This window comes from Homo sapiens, chromosome X (assembly GCF_000001405.40).
Source record: "Homo sapiens chromosome X, GRCh38.p14 Primary Assembly".
Classification (NCBI taxonomy): Eukaryota; Metazoa; Chordata; class Mammalia; order Primates; family Hominidae; genus Homo; species Homo sapiens.
In genome coordinates, this window is record NC_000023.11 from 152,915,055 (window position 1) to 152,929,455 (window position 14,401).

General features: G+C 56.4%; 1 protein-coding gene and 1 long non-coding RNA gene across 56 annotated transcripts in view, besides 1 other annotated feature; one reads left to right on the plus strand and one right to left on the minus strand.

Annotated features, from left to right (window-relative positions):
* ZNF185 (zinc finger protein 185 with LIM domain) overlaps positions 1–14,401 on the plus strand; it is a 75,415-nt gene that overhangs the window by 16,988 nt on the left and 44,026 nt on the right. For 10 of the 55 annotated variants that reach the window (XM_017029822.3, XM_017029821.2, XM_011531195.2 and 7 more), the window contains 10 exons: positions 84–149; positions 2,077–2,115; positions 2,231–2,308; positions 3,011–3,100; positions 3,929–4,027; positions 5,274–5,357; positions 5,653–5,694; positions 7,119–7,202; positions 7,666–7,755; positions 13,521–13,607. In XM_017029822.3, the coding sequence (XP_016885311.1) occupies positions 84–149; positions 2,077–2,115; positions 2,231–2,308; positions 3,011–3,100; positions 3,929–4,027; positions 5,274–5,357; positions 5,653–5,694; positions 7,119–7,202; positions 7,666–7,755; positions 13,521–13,607 (759 nt within the window). Of the gene's footprint in view, positions 1–83; positions 150–2,076; positions 2,116–2,230; positions 2,309–2,788; positions 3,101–3,928; positions 4,028–5,273; positions 5,358–5,652; positions 5,695–7,118; positions 7,203–7,665; positions 7,756–13,520; positions 13,608–14,401 lie in introns of those variants that run through there. The other 45 variants (XM_017029823.2, XM_047442488.1, XM_005274738.3 and 42 more) reach the window with 12 other exon arrangements.
* Positions 683–1,256: an enhancer, noted in NCBI's record as "H3K4me1 hESC enhancer chrX:152084281-152084854 (GRCh37/hg19 assembly coordinates)". NCBI's record gives its function as "activates a minimal SCP1, AML or CMV promoter by ChIP-STARR-seq in primed H9 embryonic stem cells {active_cell/tissue: H9 hESC(primed)}" and the evidence as "EXISTENCE:reporter gene assay evidence [ECO:0000049][PMID:30033119]".
* On the minus strand, positions 10,295–12,104 carry LOC124905237 (uncharacterized). Its single transcript, XR_007068368.1, has 2 exons — positions 11,865–12,104; positions 10,295–11,645 (listed from the first exon to the last, which is right to left on the minus strand). It is a non-coding gene; the product is annotated as an uncharacterized LOC124905237 (long non-coding RNA).

Genomic DNA, 14,401 nt, shown 5'->3' on the forward strand with positions numbered 1-14,401 from the left:
GGCAGCCTCTAGGATGGAGGCCACAGGATGGCAGGTGACAGGGAGTCTCGGAGCCAATCCTTCAGGATGCCTCTTTCCCCCAGAGAGCTGCCCTCAGGCCGGAGTCGCGCCACATCCTTTTCATCAGCTGGGGAGGTTCCGAAGCCTAGGTAAGAGGTGGTGCTCAGGTGGCTGGTGGGTCAGCCCCAGGGACTCTCCTGCAGCTTGGGGCCAGCCCTCAACAGGGAGGGGTGGGCAGTCCACAGGGGACAGGGATGCAGCCCCAGCCAAGGGTCTGCAATGAGTAATTTGAAATCTGCAGGAAGGAGGGGCTTCTCCACTGCACCTTCCTTTTGGGAAGGGGAGTGTAGGAGTCACTTGGTCCAGGCCCTTGGCCTGGCTGTGTGGCTGTGGGGCAGCTGACTTCCCTGCTGGGCCTCCGTGGCTCCAGCTGTTAACTGGGATTGAAATTGTCTTTAAGAAGAAGACGACCTCCCACCCATTCCCTGCAGGGAGTGATACTGCCTCTGAGATGCTTTGGGCAGCTTCCAGAGTCACAGTGACTCACTCCTGCAGGTCACCCTGACTGCTTGAGTGTACTTGGGACTCAGCATGCCTGTAGAGAGGCACGAGTTTGCTCTGACTGTCTCCCAAGTTTACCGTGACATATTTTGTCAGCTGACCAAGGAGAACTGGCTTCTCTCTCTTTTGGGGGCTTTTCCATAACAGTGTCTAGGGGGGCTCTGAAGCGTGGGCACACCCTGCTGGCCTCTGGAGGAACTGCTCCTGACAGAGAAAGGGAACTGAAATTCAGGCTCGCTCCTTGCTCCAAACAGCCGGCAGGCGGCTTCTCAGGGGGTGGTAGAGGCAGTGGCGGCCTCTGGAAGGGAGGGCCTCAAGTTTACAGCCAGCACACAGGGCTACCTTTAGTAACTACGGTCTCTCTGTCACCCCTCGATGACTCAGCGCCCACTACCTGCCAGGTCCCATGCTGGGCACAGAGGATGCAGGAGTGGTCAAGACAAAGGCCCTGTCTTTGGGCAACTGACGTCCCAGCAGGGGACTCAGGCAGGACCCTAGTAAACAGTTCAATACAAAAGCGAGAACCCCCAAGTGTGCCTGCAACATGGCCACCTCTGGGAGGCTGTCCCCTGTTAGAGATGGAGATTGTGGGGTTGGAGACTACCGGAGGCTCTGTGTTGCCCTTGACCCAAACCCCGATGCTCCAGCCCACATCCCCTCCACTGCAGGACAGAAGGGTCTACCCTGACCCCTTGACTCCTCCCCTAACTCTGAGGAGGACTCTTTGCAGGGGCCCCTAACTCCTGCCCGGAGGCCAGAACTTCCAGGCTGACCACCCCTGGCTGTCAGCTCCCTGCCCGCTCGTCTTGGCTGCCCCCTGAGTTATCTGAGCCCCCTCAGTTGCTGCCAAGCAGGAGGTCCCAAGCACCCAGAGCCTAATGTTTCCCAGCCGCTGAACAAGGCCTGGCCGCGCCCTCTCGTCTCAAACTTCCACCAAGACTTGGGGTGTGGGCATGCAAGGAGCTGGAGCAAAGAGGGCCCCGAGGGACAGGAAGGGGGACAGCTGGCTTCGGCTGGCTGCTGCCTGGGCTCTCCCCTTCAAGCCCTCATGCACCTTCCTGGTGGAGGCTGTTGAGGGAGATCAGGTCAGACCCCGGGCTGAGGGGAAGCCTCTGGCTCTGACTGGGGAGCCTCCAGCTTGCACTGGTTCAGCCCCAAGCACAGAGGATGGGAGGGCTGTCAGCTGAGAGCAGTGCTCCGTCGGCGCAGCACTGGGAACTGGCTGGCCAAGGAGAAGCTGGACTTTGGAGAGGCCATCAAGCTGCCTTCCTAGGCACCTGCCATGAGGAGTCACCTGGGGCACTTTTCCTGGGGGAGCATGAGGGAAATAGGCAGAGCATAGCGGGCACCTGATCAGGGGCACAGGGGGCTGGCACCCCTCGTTTCTGCTGTACTGGGACACCTGGAGCACTTGCCAGCCAATCTTATTTGCTATCGTTAAGGGCAGGATAAAGTAGGATGACCTCAGCCCTCCAGCAAGCCTCGCTTCACTCCACCCCTTCTTCTCTTCGGCAGGCCTCCGAGCACAAGGGCTCCCACTGGCTACATCATCCGGTAAGTGACCGCAGGACTCTGCCGGCCTTCCTGTGCCCACTCACGCCAAGCCCTGACTTCTTACCCCTCCAGTCCCTCCAGGGAGCTCACCGGCATCTCCTGGGCTCTCTTTCAGGGGAGTGTTCACCAAGCCCATAGACAGCTCTTCCCAGCCCCAGCAGCAGTTCCCCAAGGCCAACGGGACTCCAAAAAGGTATGTCCATGGGGTGTTGGCCAGTCGGCCAGTGGGGAGGTGTGAGGGCCTGGTCTGGGCTCCTGGCAGAGACAGTGCTCTGCCTATCAGGACTGTGGGGCCTTGGAGGTGCCAGCTTTCATCCTGGGTAGGGCAGGACCCTGGAGAGCAGGGTGGGGTGACCAGAGGAGATGGGCTGGGGTGGGACTGGCAGTCCCAAGTGGATGTGTGGGTCTCTGGGAGGTCCTGGGCCACTAACAGTGTCCTTGTCCTGGGGTCAGTCCTGACTAGGCCTGGCTAATGGGACAGAGAGGTGCAGGAGTTTGGGAGGGGCTGGGTGTAGAGTCCCCCTAGCCTGGCAGTGGGCACCCTTGACTTGACTTGCTGATGGCATTGAGAAGGCTGAAGTTGCATGCAATTCAAGCACCTTGGCATCAGGCATTGCCTGGGACTCCGTCAGACTGGAAAGGCCAAGGGGACCCGGAAACAGGAAGCAAAGACACAGGCAAGAGCCCGCTGGGCTGTTCCCTGAAGCTCGGTGGGGTTTGCCTACACAGCTGCTCTGAGTGGCGCAGTTCCGGGTGTCTGTCAGGGCCAAAAGCAAAGAGGAAAGGCTCCCAGGCAGCTCCTGGTCCACCTCTCATGTGTCCACTGGGCTGTGTGGCCAAATCTGGAGGCAGGAGGGAGCCTGCAGGTAGACACATGGAACCTTCTCCTCTCTAGTGCTGCCAGTCTGGTGAGAACAGCTAACGCTGGTCCTCCCCGCCCCTCCTCCTCTGGCTACAAGATGACCACTGAGGATTACAAGAAGCTGTGAGTATGCAACGCCAGGCTCAGCGTGGTTCCCTCCTCCAAGGAACAAGTCCAAACTCTGGGTCCACTGAAGGCAGCTGACTACTTGCCACCGAGCACAGCCCGGGAAGTCCCGCCTGCCTGACACTCCCTGCCAGTTGCAGCTGTGGCCTGGAGCCCACCAGAGGGTAACAAGCCCCAGAAAACTGGATGGCTGTGCACATTGCACGTCTGATCCGAGGCAGAGCGGAGACCGCAGGAAGCTTGTAGGAGGGGCCCCACGGATCTGGGGAAAGGGTCATGGGTCGTGAGGCTGCTGCTGGCTGGCTGTGCTTCCTGGGCTTGGCCCTGCACCCGGCCGAGCCTCAGGTGCTCTGCCTGGCTGCACTGGGCTGGGGGCCTGGGGATCCTCAGGGTGCTGCTGTCAGTCTGAGCATTGTGTGCCTAAATCTGAGCTGCTTCTTGGATAGAAACCTTCGGGTTTTCCCTTAGTGCTCCCCTTGGGGTCCCTTTCAAAGCCCCCCACCCCCCACTGCATGCTCAGGGAGGAGGGTTCTCTGGACAGAGGTGTGAATTGTGTCTCTAGTTCCCAGGGGACCACATCTTTCCGTTGTTTGTCCCTTGCCTCCATCATCCAGGGTTGGGGAGCTGCTGGGTAACCTTTCTGGGGAAGGGGAGAGGCTCGAACAGGGAGGGAGGGGAGAGCTGGTCTCAGGGAGGAACAAGTGGCATGACCTAAGGCCCAAAGGCAGAGATATTGACTTGCCTCGTCATTGTTGTTGAAAGCCAGGAAGCCAAGCTGCTGAGGGTGGCAGCCTATGACAGGAAAGCGCCTCTCCCCTCTCTTAGGGCACCCTACAATATCAGGCGCAGCTCTACATCAGGGGACACCGAGGAGGAGGAGGAGGAGGAGGTGGTGCCATTCTCCTCAGATGAACAGAAACGGAGGTAATGGAATGGTGCCTTTTGGGCATCCCGGGGGGCAGGGCAGGAGCCTGAGTCTTCGAAGACTGCTGGAATGAATTGTACTGGTTGGGGTGACAAAATGCACAACACGTAGGCCATCAGCGGTAGCCCACGGAGCATGAGAATAGGTGTCATTCTCTGAGTGCCAGAACCACCCACTCAGTGTTGGACCAGCTGAGGGGCCCTTGAGAACCTTCTGTGGGGTAGAACCTAGGTAATGTGGGTCCGGGGAAAAGCCTCCTCATGTGGAGGCTCTTCAGGGCTCTAAATCGGTTTGTTAGAAAGGGCCCTGAGACAGTTGAACAAAAATATTCAGGGAGAAGCCACCTGCACAGTGCCCTCTATCTGCATGATCTGCATGCCTTGGGGGTTCTGAATGCCCCGGACCCCAAACTGAGCTCCAGGCATGCACAGCAGTGGGAGTGTGCCCCATGCTGCTGAAATTCTACCCTAGTCTCTGCGCCAAGCTGCCCTCGTCCACACAGGCCAGCAAAGTTCCATGGACCCTTGCCCCTCCTCAGTCCTCTGTCCATGGGGACTGACCACATACCACCCAGTGCTGGTGAACTATGACAGGAAGGGTTTGTTAAGCACCTTTTGTATGCCTTTGGCTTGGGGCCTGTACAGCAGTTGGGCCCTGAGGAAATAAAGCCCTCCCCTCCCTGGGCTCAGCCAGCCACCAGGTCCATATCTGCTGACCCATCTGTGGCGCAGGAATCACAGCAAAGCCCCATTGCCAAAGGCCCTGGCAGATTGGCTATCCTCAGGGAACAGTTCACAGTGGCAGGGGCCCCCAGGCCTGGGTGGAGCAAGGAAAAGAGCCAGAAGCTAGGAGCTGCCTAGCATTGAATGCCAGCTCTGCCACCTGCTAGGTGAGTGCTCTTGGGCAAATAATGAAAGCTTCTTGGACTCAGTTTCCTCATCTGTAAATCACAGAGGATACTAGCGTCTACTTTCCTGGATTGAGAAGAGCAATAAGCCAATGCGAGGATGTTGGCATCTGGCGCAGAGCCGGGCACATGCCACATGCTCCATAAACATGGGCTGCCCTTCCTTCAGGTTCTACATTTCCTTTGAATAGTCCTTGGAGCAGGTGCAAATCTGGTTTCTCTCACCCCTTGCCTCCCTGGGGTGGCCCTAAGTCACCCCGAGTCCATCCCAGGCTAGGCTGGCAGAGCATGTCCAGCTTGGCACCCATCAGATGCTCCCCCATCCCGTGTCACCCCAGGTCAGAGGCTGCAAGCGGTGTTCTGAGGAGGACAGCTCCCCGGGAGCACTCCTACGTCCTGTCAGCGGCCAAGAAGAGCACTGGGTGAGTTGCCACCAACTGGCTCCAGGCTCTAGGACAGCTCTCCTCTCCTCAGAGCTCCAGCCTTCTCTGGCTGATGAAAGGGTGGGTGGAGAGATCACCCCCAAGGGCCTTCCTAGCTGAGCCTTCTCAGATTCTCAGATGTACTTTCTAGAAAATGGAGAGGTCTGGCGGCTACCACCAGGGACAGTGAAGTGCCGGGAATGGAGAGGGCCCAGGACCCTCTGAGGTAGAGCGGTCTTGATGTCACCTGCCCACGGGCTCTGCCCAAAGCATTGCCTTTCTGCTTCCTTTCCAGCAGTCCTACCCAGGAGACACAGGCACCGTTTATCGCGAAGAGGTAAGTGTCATCAAGGGACACCTTGGAGGCCTGTTACTGGCCACAGGAAGGCCTTCCGTCAGCAGGGGTGTAGTGTGGGAGCTGTGGAGAGGGGATGTGGATGTGGGGGACTACTGTCCCTGAGCAGGGGGAGTTGTGAGGGGCTGGGGGCTTCTGTCTGGAGGCCTGGCAAGCACCTGGGTGGCTGTGGTAGCATATGTGGTCAAGCTCTTCCATTTGCCAATGGCTAATGGGGCTGGGCCCCTGACCCAACGTGGAGCATTTCCAAGGCCCTCTGGGAGTTGTTCCCCTGCCCCTGTTGCTTGCCTGATGCCTTGCCTTCTGCTCTCATCCAGGATCAAAACCTGGGCCATCAGGAGAACTTCCCCTGGGAGGTGACTGTGACATTGGAGATGGGCCCTAAAGGGTGAACAGGGCTTAACAGGGAATGATCAGAACGTCGGGATACTCCAGCTGAATGAGGGAGGGGTGTCACCATTAGTTGAGACAGGGCACCTTCTGGAGGAGGAAAATATTCGGGGGAAAGCAAGAAAGAAACTTCTGGAAACTTGAATTTGAGGGACTTCCAGTTGAGTGGACAGGGAAGGCCTCTCTCTGTGCTGAGGTGGCTAGCTGGGGACTGCAAACCCAAGAGAAGACAGCATGCCAACTGCCCCAGGCAGAGGGCCCCAGTGCACAGGCCCGGGGTGGGACTAGCTTGCTGTGTTGGAAGACCAGGAAGTTGGCAGGAATACAGAGAGCAGGGATGGTGGCAGCACAAAGGAAGTGACAGAGAACGGGGGGCGGTGGGGGGGTCTTCCTGGCTGCATTTGGTTCCTGTGGTTTCTGTAACGCAGTACCAAAAACTGAGTGGCTTAAAACATCAGAAAGGGATTCTCTCCCGGTTCTGGAGACCAGAAGTCTAGATCAAGGTGTTAGCAGGGTGGGTTCCTTCTGGAGGCTTTGAGGGAGAAACCATCCCAGGCCACTCTCCTGGCTTCTGCTGGTGGTTGGTGATCCTTGGTGTTCCTCGGCTTGTACCTGCATCACTCCAGTCTGTGCGTCTGTCTTCACATGGCCTTCTCTTCTCTGTGTGTCTGTGTCCAGATTTCCCTCTTCTTACAAGGACAGCGGTCATTGGATTTAGGACCCATCCTACTCCAGTATGACCTCATCTTACCTGATTACATCTGCAAAGACCCTATTTCCAAATAAGGTTACAGTCACAGGTTCCAGGGGACATGAATTTTGGGGGGACACTATTCAACCCAGTATGCTGTCCTTATCCTGAGCTGGAGTCACTGAACCCCCAGCCTGGGCCACCTCTTGGCCGTGATCCTGAAGGGTTGGGTCAGTTAGACGCCACTGGAAGCATGTTCTTTGAGGCCTCCAAGCTCTAGGGCAGCCAAGAAGACCACGAGCGCTGTTTCTCTTCTTGCTCAAAGGGTGGAGGTGGTGGAAGAGGACGGGCCTTCTGAGAAGAGCCAGGACCCACCTGCTCTGGCAAGATCCACTCCTGGCTCAAACAGGTAATCCATTGCGCTCATCTCTGCCTGGGGCTGGTGGCTGCCATACCTGCCACTCAGTCACTGAGGAACCTCAGTCAGGGCACCTCCATGCTGGGCTTCGAGATCAGTGTCCCCATGTGCCCAGTGACAAGACGGGACAAAGAAATCAGTAAGAGCCCATCTGGCTGGATGTCCCAGGGCTGAAAGGAGCAAAACAGTCCAGCCCCCCGGGAGAGAGCACCTGGCTCTGGTCTGATGAGTACGTATCTGTGTCACCTTAACCCTTGCACCACTGAGCCTGGTGGCAACTTGAACACCCCAAGAAAAAGTACCATCCTTGGGGTTTGAGAGGGCCAGCCACCATGGCAGTAGCATGCCATTGTCAGACTTGCTCCTTGCACTCCAATAAGTTAGCCACATTCAGCATGCCCAGGGAGGAGGCTCTGACATCTCCAGAGCCTCTCACAGCCACCTTCTTTGCCAGTGCGGATGGAGGCAGGACCAAAGCGTCTCGGGCAATTTGGATCGAGTGCCTGCCAAGTATGCCTAGCCCCGCTGGGAGCCAGGAGCTCAGGTGGGTGCCGAGAGCTGACTCTGGCTTGTGAGTGGGTGTGATGGCTTCCCGCCAGCCTGGCTGGCTGGTTCTGCCAGCTGGGGAGGGTCTGGCAGTGGGGTGATGGGGCAAGGACAGGCTGAGCACTGGTGATCTCACTCCAGGAAGGGCCGTGATTTGTCTTGATTTCTGATCCCTGAGAATCTGGGCAGATAATGGTGCTCTCTTGTCTGTGGACAACTAATACCTTCTTGTACTTTGTGCAGAATGGTGCTAAGTCCTGCAGGGAGAGCCACCACCTGCTGTTGCTGCTGTTTAAAGTGCCTGCCTGGATTGAGACCTTTGCTCAAATCTAGGTCTCCTAAGAGCTGCATCTCTGTAGCACCCTTGGAAGACCCCTGCATCCAGAAGGGGAGAGGGCCTGTCCCTACCGGTCACTTCCCAGGCCCCCAAGGGCTGTTCAGGCTCTCCTAATACCATAGCAATCCCCCAATTTGAGCTCCACAGCCATTTATAGACAGGTGACCACTGTCCTCAGGGTTACTTCCTCAGTCTGGGAGGGAGACAGAAATGCTGGCAGAGGGAGCCAGGAGCATGAGGCCAGCTCCCTCCATGGCCCCAGGCAGCAGACTGCCAGGGTGCTTCTCCTTTTCACTCTCTCCCTCTCTTGATCTTCTCTGGTTGTCTGACTCTCCCCATAAGAACTTTGGTCCATAGAAGATGTGGAAAGGAAGATTTGAGAATTCTTTACAAGGCAATATCTAGGGCAGAGCTCCCCAGTCTTTTTGGCACCAGGGATTGGTTTCGTGAAAGACACTTTTTCCACGGGACGGAGCAGGGGATGGTTTCAGGATGAAACTGTTCCACCTTAGATCATCAAGCACCGGATTCTCATAAGGAGCGCACAATCTAGATCTCTCACATGTGCAGTTCACAATACGGTTCGCGCTCTCATGAGAATCTGCTGATCTGACAGGAGGCGGAGCTAAGGCAGTAATGATCTCTAGCTTACCTCCTACTGTGCAGCCTGATTCCCAGCAGACCACAGACTGGTACTGATCCTCAGGCTGGGGTTGGGGACCCCTGATCTAGGGGACTTGGCAATTGAGGGATATGGGGGCAAAGGCTGCCACAACAAAGTATTGTACCACACCCTGGGGCGCTTAAACCACAGAAACGTATCATCTCCCACTTCTGGAGGCTAGAAGTGTGAGATCAAGGTGACGGCAAGGTTGGTTCCTCTTGAGTCTCTCTCCTTGGCTGGTAGACTCCATCTTCTCCCTGGGCCCTTATATGCTCATCCCTGTCTGTGTGTGCCTGCGTCCTAATCACTTCTGTTTTTTTGAGACAGAGTCTCACTCCGTCGCCCAGGCTGGAGTGCAGTGGCACAGTCACCACTCACTGCAGCCTCGACCTTCCAGGCTCAAGAGAGCCTCCAGCCTTAGCCTCCTGAGTAGCTGGGGCTACAGTCACAGGCCACCATACCCAGCTAGTTTTTTTTTTTTAAATTTTTGTAGAGACAGGGTTTCACCATGTTGCCCAGGCTGGTCTGGAACTCTAGGACTCAAATGATCCTCCTGCCTTAGCCTCCCAAAGTGCTGGGATTGCAGGCATGAGCCACCGCGCCCAGACCCTAATCACTTCTTATAAGGACATTGGTCCAACTGGATTAGGGCCCACCCTAACAACTGTATTTTAACTTAGTCACTTCTTTAAAGGCCCCATCTCCAAATGCAGTAACATTCTGAGGTCATGGGGGAGTTAAGACCTCAACATATGAATTTTGGGTGGCACAAGTCAGCCCATAACAGTATACAGTTCTCATTTCTCCTTATTTCTCTTTTAAAGAAAGGCAATAAATGGTTTCAGGTGCCTTTCTGTTTGTTCGTTTGTTTGTTTTGTTTGTTTTTGAGATGGAGTCTCGCTCTGTCGCCCAGGCTCTGTCGAGTACAGTGGTGTGATCTCGGCTCACCGCAGCCTCCGCCTCCCGGGTTCAAGCGATTCTTCTGCCTCAGCCTCCCGAGTAGCTGGGATTACAGGTGCACGCGACCACGCCCGGCTAATTTTTGTATTTTTAGTAGAGACGGGTTTCACCATATTGGCCAGGCTGGTCTCAAACTGCTGACCTTGTGATCTGCCCACCTCAGGCTCCCAAAGTGCTGGGATTACAGGCGTGAGCCACCGCGCTTGGCCTCAGGTGCCTTTTAGAAGATAATATAGGAGGCTGGGCATGGTGGCTCATGCCCGTAATCCCAGCACTTTGGGAGGCCAAGGCAGGAGGATGGCTTGAAGCCAGGAGTTTGAGACCAACCTAGGTAACATAGCAAGACCCCATCTCTACAAAAAAATAAAAAATAAAAATTAAAAATTAGTTGGGAGCATTGATGTACACCTGTAGTCCCAGCTACTTGGGAGGCTGAGGTGGGAGGACTGCCTGAGCCCAGGAGTTTGAGGCTGCAATGAGCTGTGACCGCACCCTTACACTCTAGCCTGGGTGACAGAGCAAGACCCTGTCTCTAAAACAAGAAAAAAAAGAGAGAAAGAATGGAGGAGAATTAGATTGTGCTGTATTATAGATTTAAAAGGCACTTTGACATTTATTCCACAAAATTCCTTTCGATGTTTAATCCCCATCATATGGTTGTCATTGCAAGGTGGCTTTTTAAGTTTGCTCAGGTTGCCATAACAAATAAAGGCTAGAGATTCAGGGTCCGGGGCAAGCTCCCAACAGGAGGCTCAGCTTGATGCTTCTGATAGTTCTTTCCTCCAATTCTGGTCACTCAATATTTGGAGCTCACCCAGGCAGCTTCCAGGAAAGCTGCTGGCTGATCCTGACCCTGGAGGGCCGTCTTCTCTGACCCTACCACGTTAGGTGCTGCACTGGACCAAGCAGCCACCATCAGTACTCCCAGGCCCAGCTCCTATCTGCCTGGTGTCTGAGAAGCCCAGCCCGTGAGGAACAATGACTCAATCAAACTCAGGGTCCTGCAGCACTTCAGAAAAGGCTGGTTTGTGGCAGAGTGGAAGAGGAGAATGTCACAGCCTTGTCCCCAGGCACAGACCTATCGAGGCTACCCTCTCCCCACCCCCTGCCCTGCCCTGTTTCCCTTAGCTACAGTGCAAAGGTCAGCTCCTCATAACTCTTGCCCCCCTTGCAACCTGAACCCAGTTTAGGGACCCTCTCTTGGAGAAACTGGTTCTACACATGCACCCCTTCTCGGCCCCCAGGCCTGGCTGCTTTACCCGAAGCACTGGTCAAGCTTGCCTCACCTGACCAGGGCATGGCCTCCTGGGTCCCGGTCCTAGGCTCTGCCCAGCATGCTGCCTGGCAGAGCGTCTGGGGAGCAGGGAGTAGGAGCACAGCTTCTGGCACAGGACAAAACCCTGGCTTTGCATCAGACTGACTGTGTGACCTTGAGCAAGTCTCTTCATCTCTCCATGCATCAGTTTCCCCGTGGATAAAATAGGGAGAGCAGTAATAGCTACTTCCCAAGGCTGTCCCAAATGCTAAATGAGATCGTGCACCTGAAGTACTTACCACAGTGCCTGGGTGCTGGTATCCTCGGGGGCTCCCAGTCATAGGCGTGCTGAGCTGCAGGGCCCTTATTCAAATACAGGAAGAGATCAATATCTCCACCTGCTGGCATTTGAGGGAAATGTGGCCAAAGGCAGTGAAAAGGAGGTATCCCCTCGCCCCACATCCCCGCCTCCTCGCTCTTTGGCAGAATGAGTCACACACTGTTTGGCACAGGCCACAGTTGGTCGCATTCCCACAGGTGGCTGTGATCAGTTTTGGGCTTCAGGCTTCAGCAGATGCCTGCCTCTCTTCCTTGGGTGCCTTCCAAGGGTGTGCAGCCTTCCAGCGTGGTCCTGGACTTCAGCTTGGACTGGAGCTGTCTGTGGTTGAGAGTCTGGGGAGATGGTGGGGTAGCGGGTTGTGGGGGAGGAGAGACCCTTGTATTAGTTTACTGGAGCTGCTGTAACAAGGTACCAGAAACTGAGTGGCTTAAAACCACACGCATTTATCCTCTCACAATTCTGGAGGCTGGAAGTCTGAGATCAAGGTGTCGGAAGGGCCATGCTCCCTCCAAAGGCTCTGGGGGAAAATCTGTTCCATACCTTTCTCTTACCTTTTGTTGCCTGCAATCCTTGGTGTTTCCTGGCTTGCGCCCGCCTCACTCCCATCTCGGCCTCTGTCTTCGCGCAGCCGTCTTCCCTCTGTGTCTGCCCACATTGCCCTAGTCTGACATCAGTCACTGGAGCAGGCTGGGGTGACACTTTGTTCCCATTTCCTCTGTGACAGAGCCAGAAACGCCAGTGAGAAAATATGTTGTGCTTGCCTGTGACATCCCTGTTCCCTGGCACCACCTGATTTAAATGAGGCAGCCAGGGGTTTTATACTGTCATCATAAATGACATCATCCTCAACAACGATGTCATCGTCGTTATCACGAGAGGAGATGGGGAGAAGTCAGAGCTGTCTGTGTGTCTAGGGCCCCTCCTGGCTTTCATGATGGGAGAGGCCTTGTCCTTGGTAGCCCTTCCATTTCCCTCTGGTCACTTTGAGCACTCCAGGCCCTGGCCAGGGTGGAAGTGGAGGGACAGAGATGAGCAGCCCGCTGACCCAGCCCTCCATGGCTCATTCCTTGCTTTCACCTTGGCCACTCCATCCCCTACCCCTCCTGGGACCCCTGAGTGGCCTCTTTAAAGTGCCAGTCTGAACCTATAAACCCCCCACCTCCACTTCAAGCCCATCCTGCATCTTCCCTTTGCCATACCAGATCTAGTCTGTACATTCAGGACCCCTGCCAGCCTCTACCTCCTCCTCCTCCCCCGATCTCCCTTCAGCTGGCCTGGGTCGGGCTATGCCTCCATGAAGCTTGTCCACTGCTCCCATGGCTAAACCTGTTCTGGGCCCTGCAGCACAGCAAGGTCAGTTTCCATGCCTCTCTGCCCCTGCCTGACCCTGCTGGGCCCAGAGCTTCACCAGGGCAGGCCTGGGGCTCAGGCTTGTCTGCACTTCCAGGGCCCAGGGACAAAGGCAGGAGTGACTGCAATGTGGCTTGGAATTAGGCTTTGCTCCATGGACCTAAGGAGGTCTGGTTTGGGGTGAAGGGTCCACCCCCAGAAAGCCTGGGAGCTCTATATTCTCTCTGGCCCTGGCCACACCATGGCCAAGCCTGCTGGGCGTCATGCCTTGCAGTACGGCCAGAGAATGCATCAGACTTGGAGGGATGTGTGTCCGGGGTGGCCTGTGGTCATCTGGGGGAGGGCTCTGAGCGTGGCTGGCAAGAGGAAAGCTCAAAGGGGCCCTTTGTCCTCATCCCCGAGTCTGCGACATCCCCTCCCACTGGTTTTCATTCCATATTTGGTCTGTGGGTTTTCTCAGTCTCTCGTACCCCTCAGTCCCCACCAGTCCATGAATGCAGAACTACCCCTGGCCTCACAAATGGCCACTTTGGATACCCTGGTGGGGTCACAGGCTGCGGTTGCCCCTGCAAATGGTTGGTAGAAGCACGGGTTGGGAGGTTTCATTTCTACCCAGAAGGGCCCTTGCTGTGCCTGAGGGAGGGCTGGGCTCAGGTCAGGGGTGGGAGACCGGGGAAGGGGCCTACAGGTCAGTGGCCCGAGCTCAGCTGCAGCACCAACAAGGCTCAAGGCCAAGGAGGAGATGAGAGCACATCAAAAGGGGGCAGTGGGTCTGGGCGGCCCACCGCACTCACCAGCCCAAGAAGGGGGAGACTTTTCTCACCTGCAACCCACTGGGTCTCTCCTTTGGCCCGCAGCTCAAGAGGTGAGGAAATTGTCCGCCTGCAGATCCTGACACCCAGGGCAGGACTCCGCCTGGTGGCCCCAGACGTGGAAGGCATGAGGTATGGGGGTCCTGCTGCTGTCCTGGCTCCCTGGACACCATTCTAGAGATGGAAGCAGCAGCCTCAGGTGGCAAATGATGAGGCCTAGGGCCGGCTCTGCCACTGTAGGGCCAACAGGTTGATGGGAGGCATGGTCGACCTGGGTTTTCTGCCCCATCTCATTCTTTCACTCAGAAAACCATTATGGAGCAAGCGCTTAGTCTGTGTAAGGGCACAGGCCCGACCCTGGGACACAGTAGTGAACAGGACCCCCTGGCTGGAATTGCCATCTGCCTGGTGGGGGAGGCAGACGCCGACATGAGCATGAATGAGGTCAGCCAGAGATGCTGTGTGCCAGGAGCCCCTGGGAAGTGACAGCTCAACCCTGCCAATTGCTGAAGATGGGACCAGTCAGCCGTGCTGGGGATGTTGGTGGGGGTGGGAGGAGGATTGGGTCTAAGGAGCCCGTGAAGGCCACTGAGGCCATTGCCCTGCCTGTGTGAGAGGGCCACTGGGAATAGAGTGGGGTCACTGGGTCAGAGTCCACAGCTCTCCATGCCACTAGGCTCTGTGCTGGGGAGGGGTGGGTCAAGGAGGCCACAACCAGCAGGGAGCACGAGGGGCTCAGCCTCTGCCCTGGGGTGGGGGTCAGACAGCCAGGTGACATGCAGGCAGGATTCGGGGGCTGGGGTGGAGGCTAGGAGAGATCCGAGCAGGGAGACTGGGCCCCTACCTTGTGAAGGCCAGGGACTGGGGAGAGAAGCGGGAGTGTACACTGAAGGTCATCCCTTAATCCCTGGGGTGGCAGGAACTTC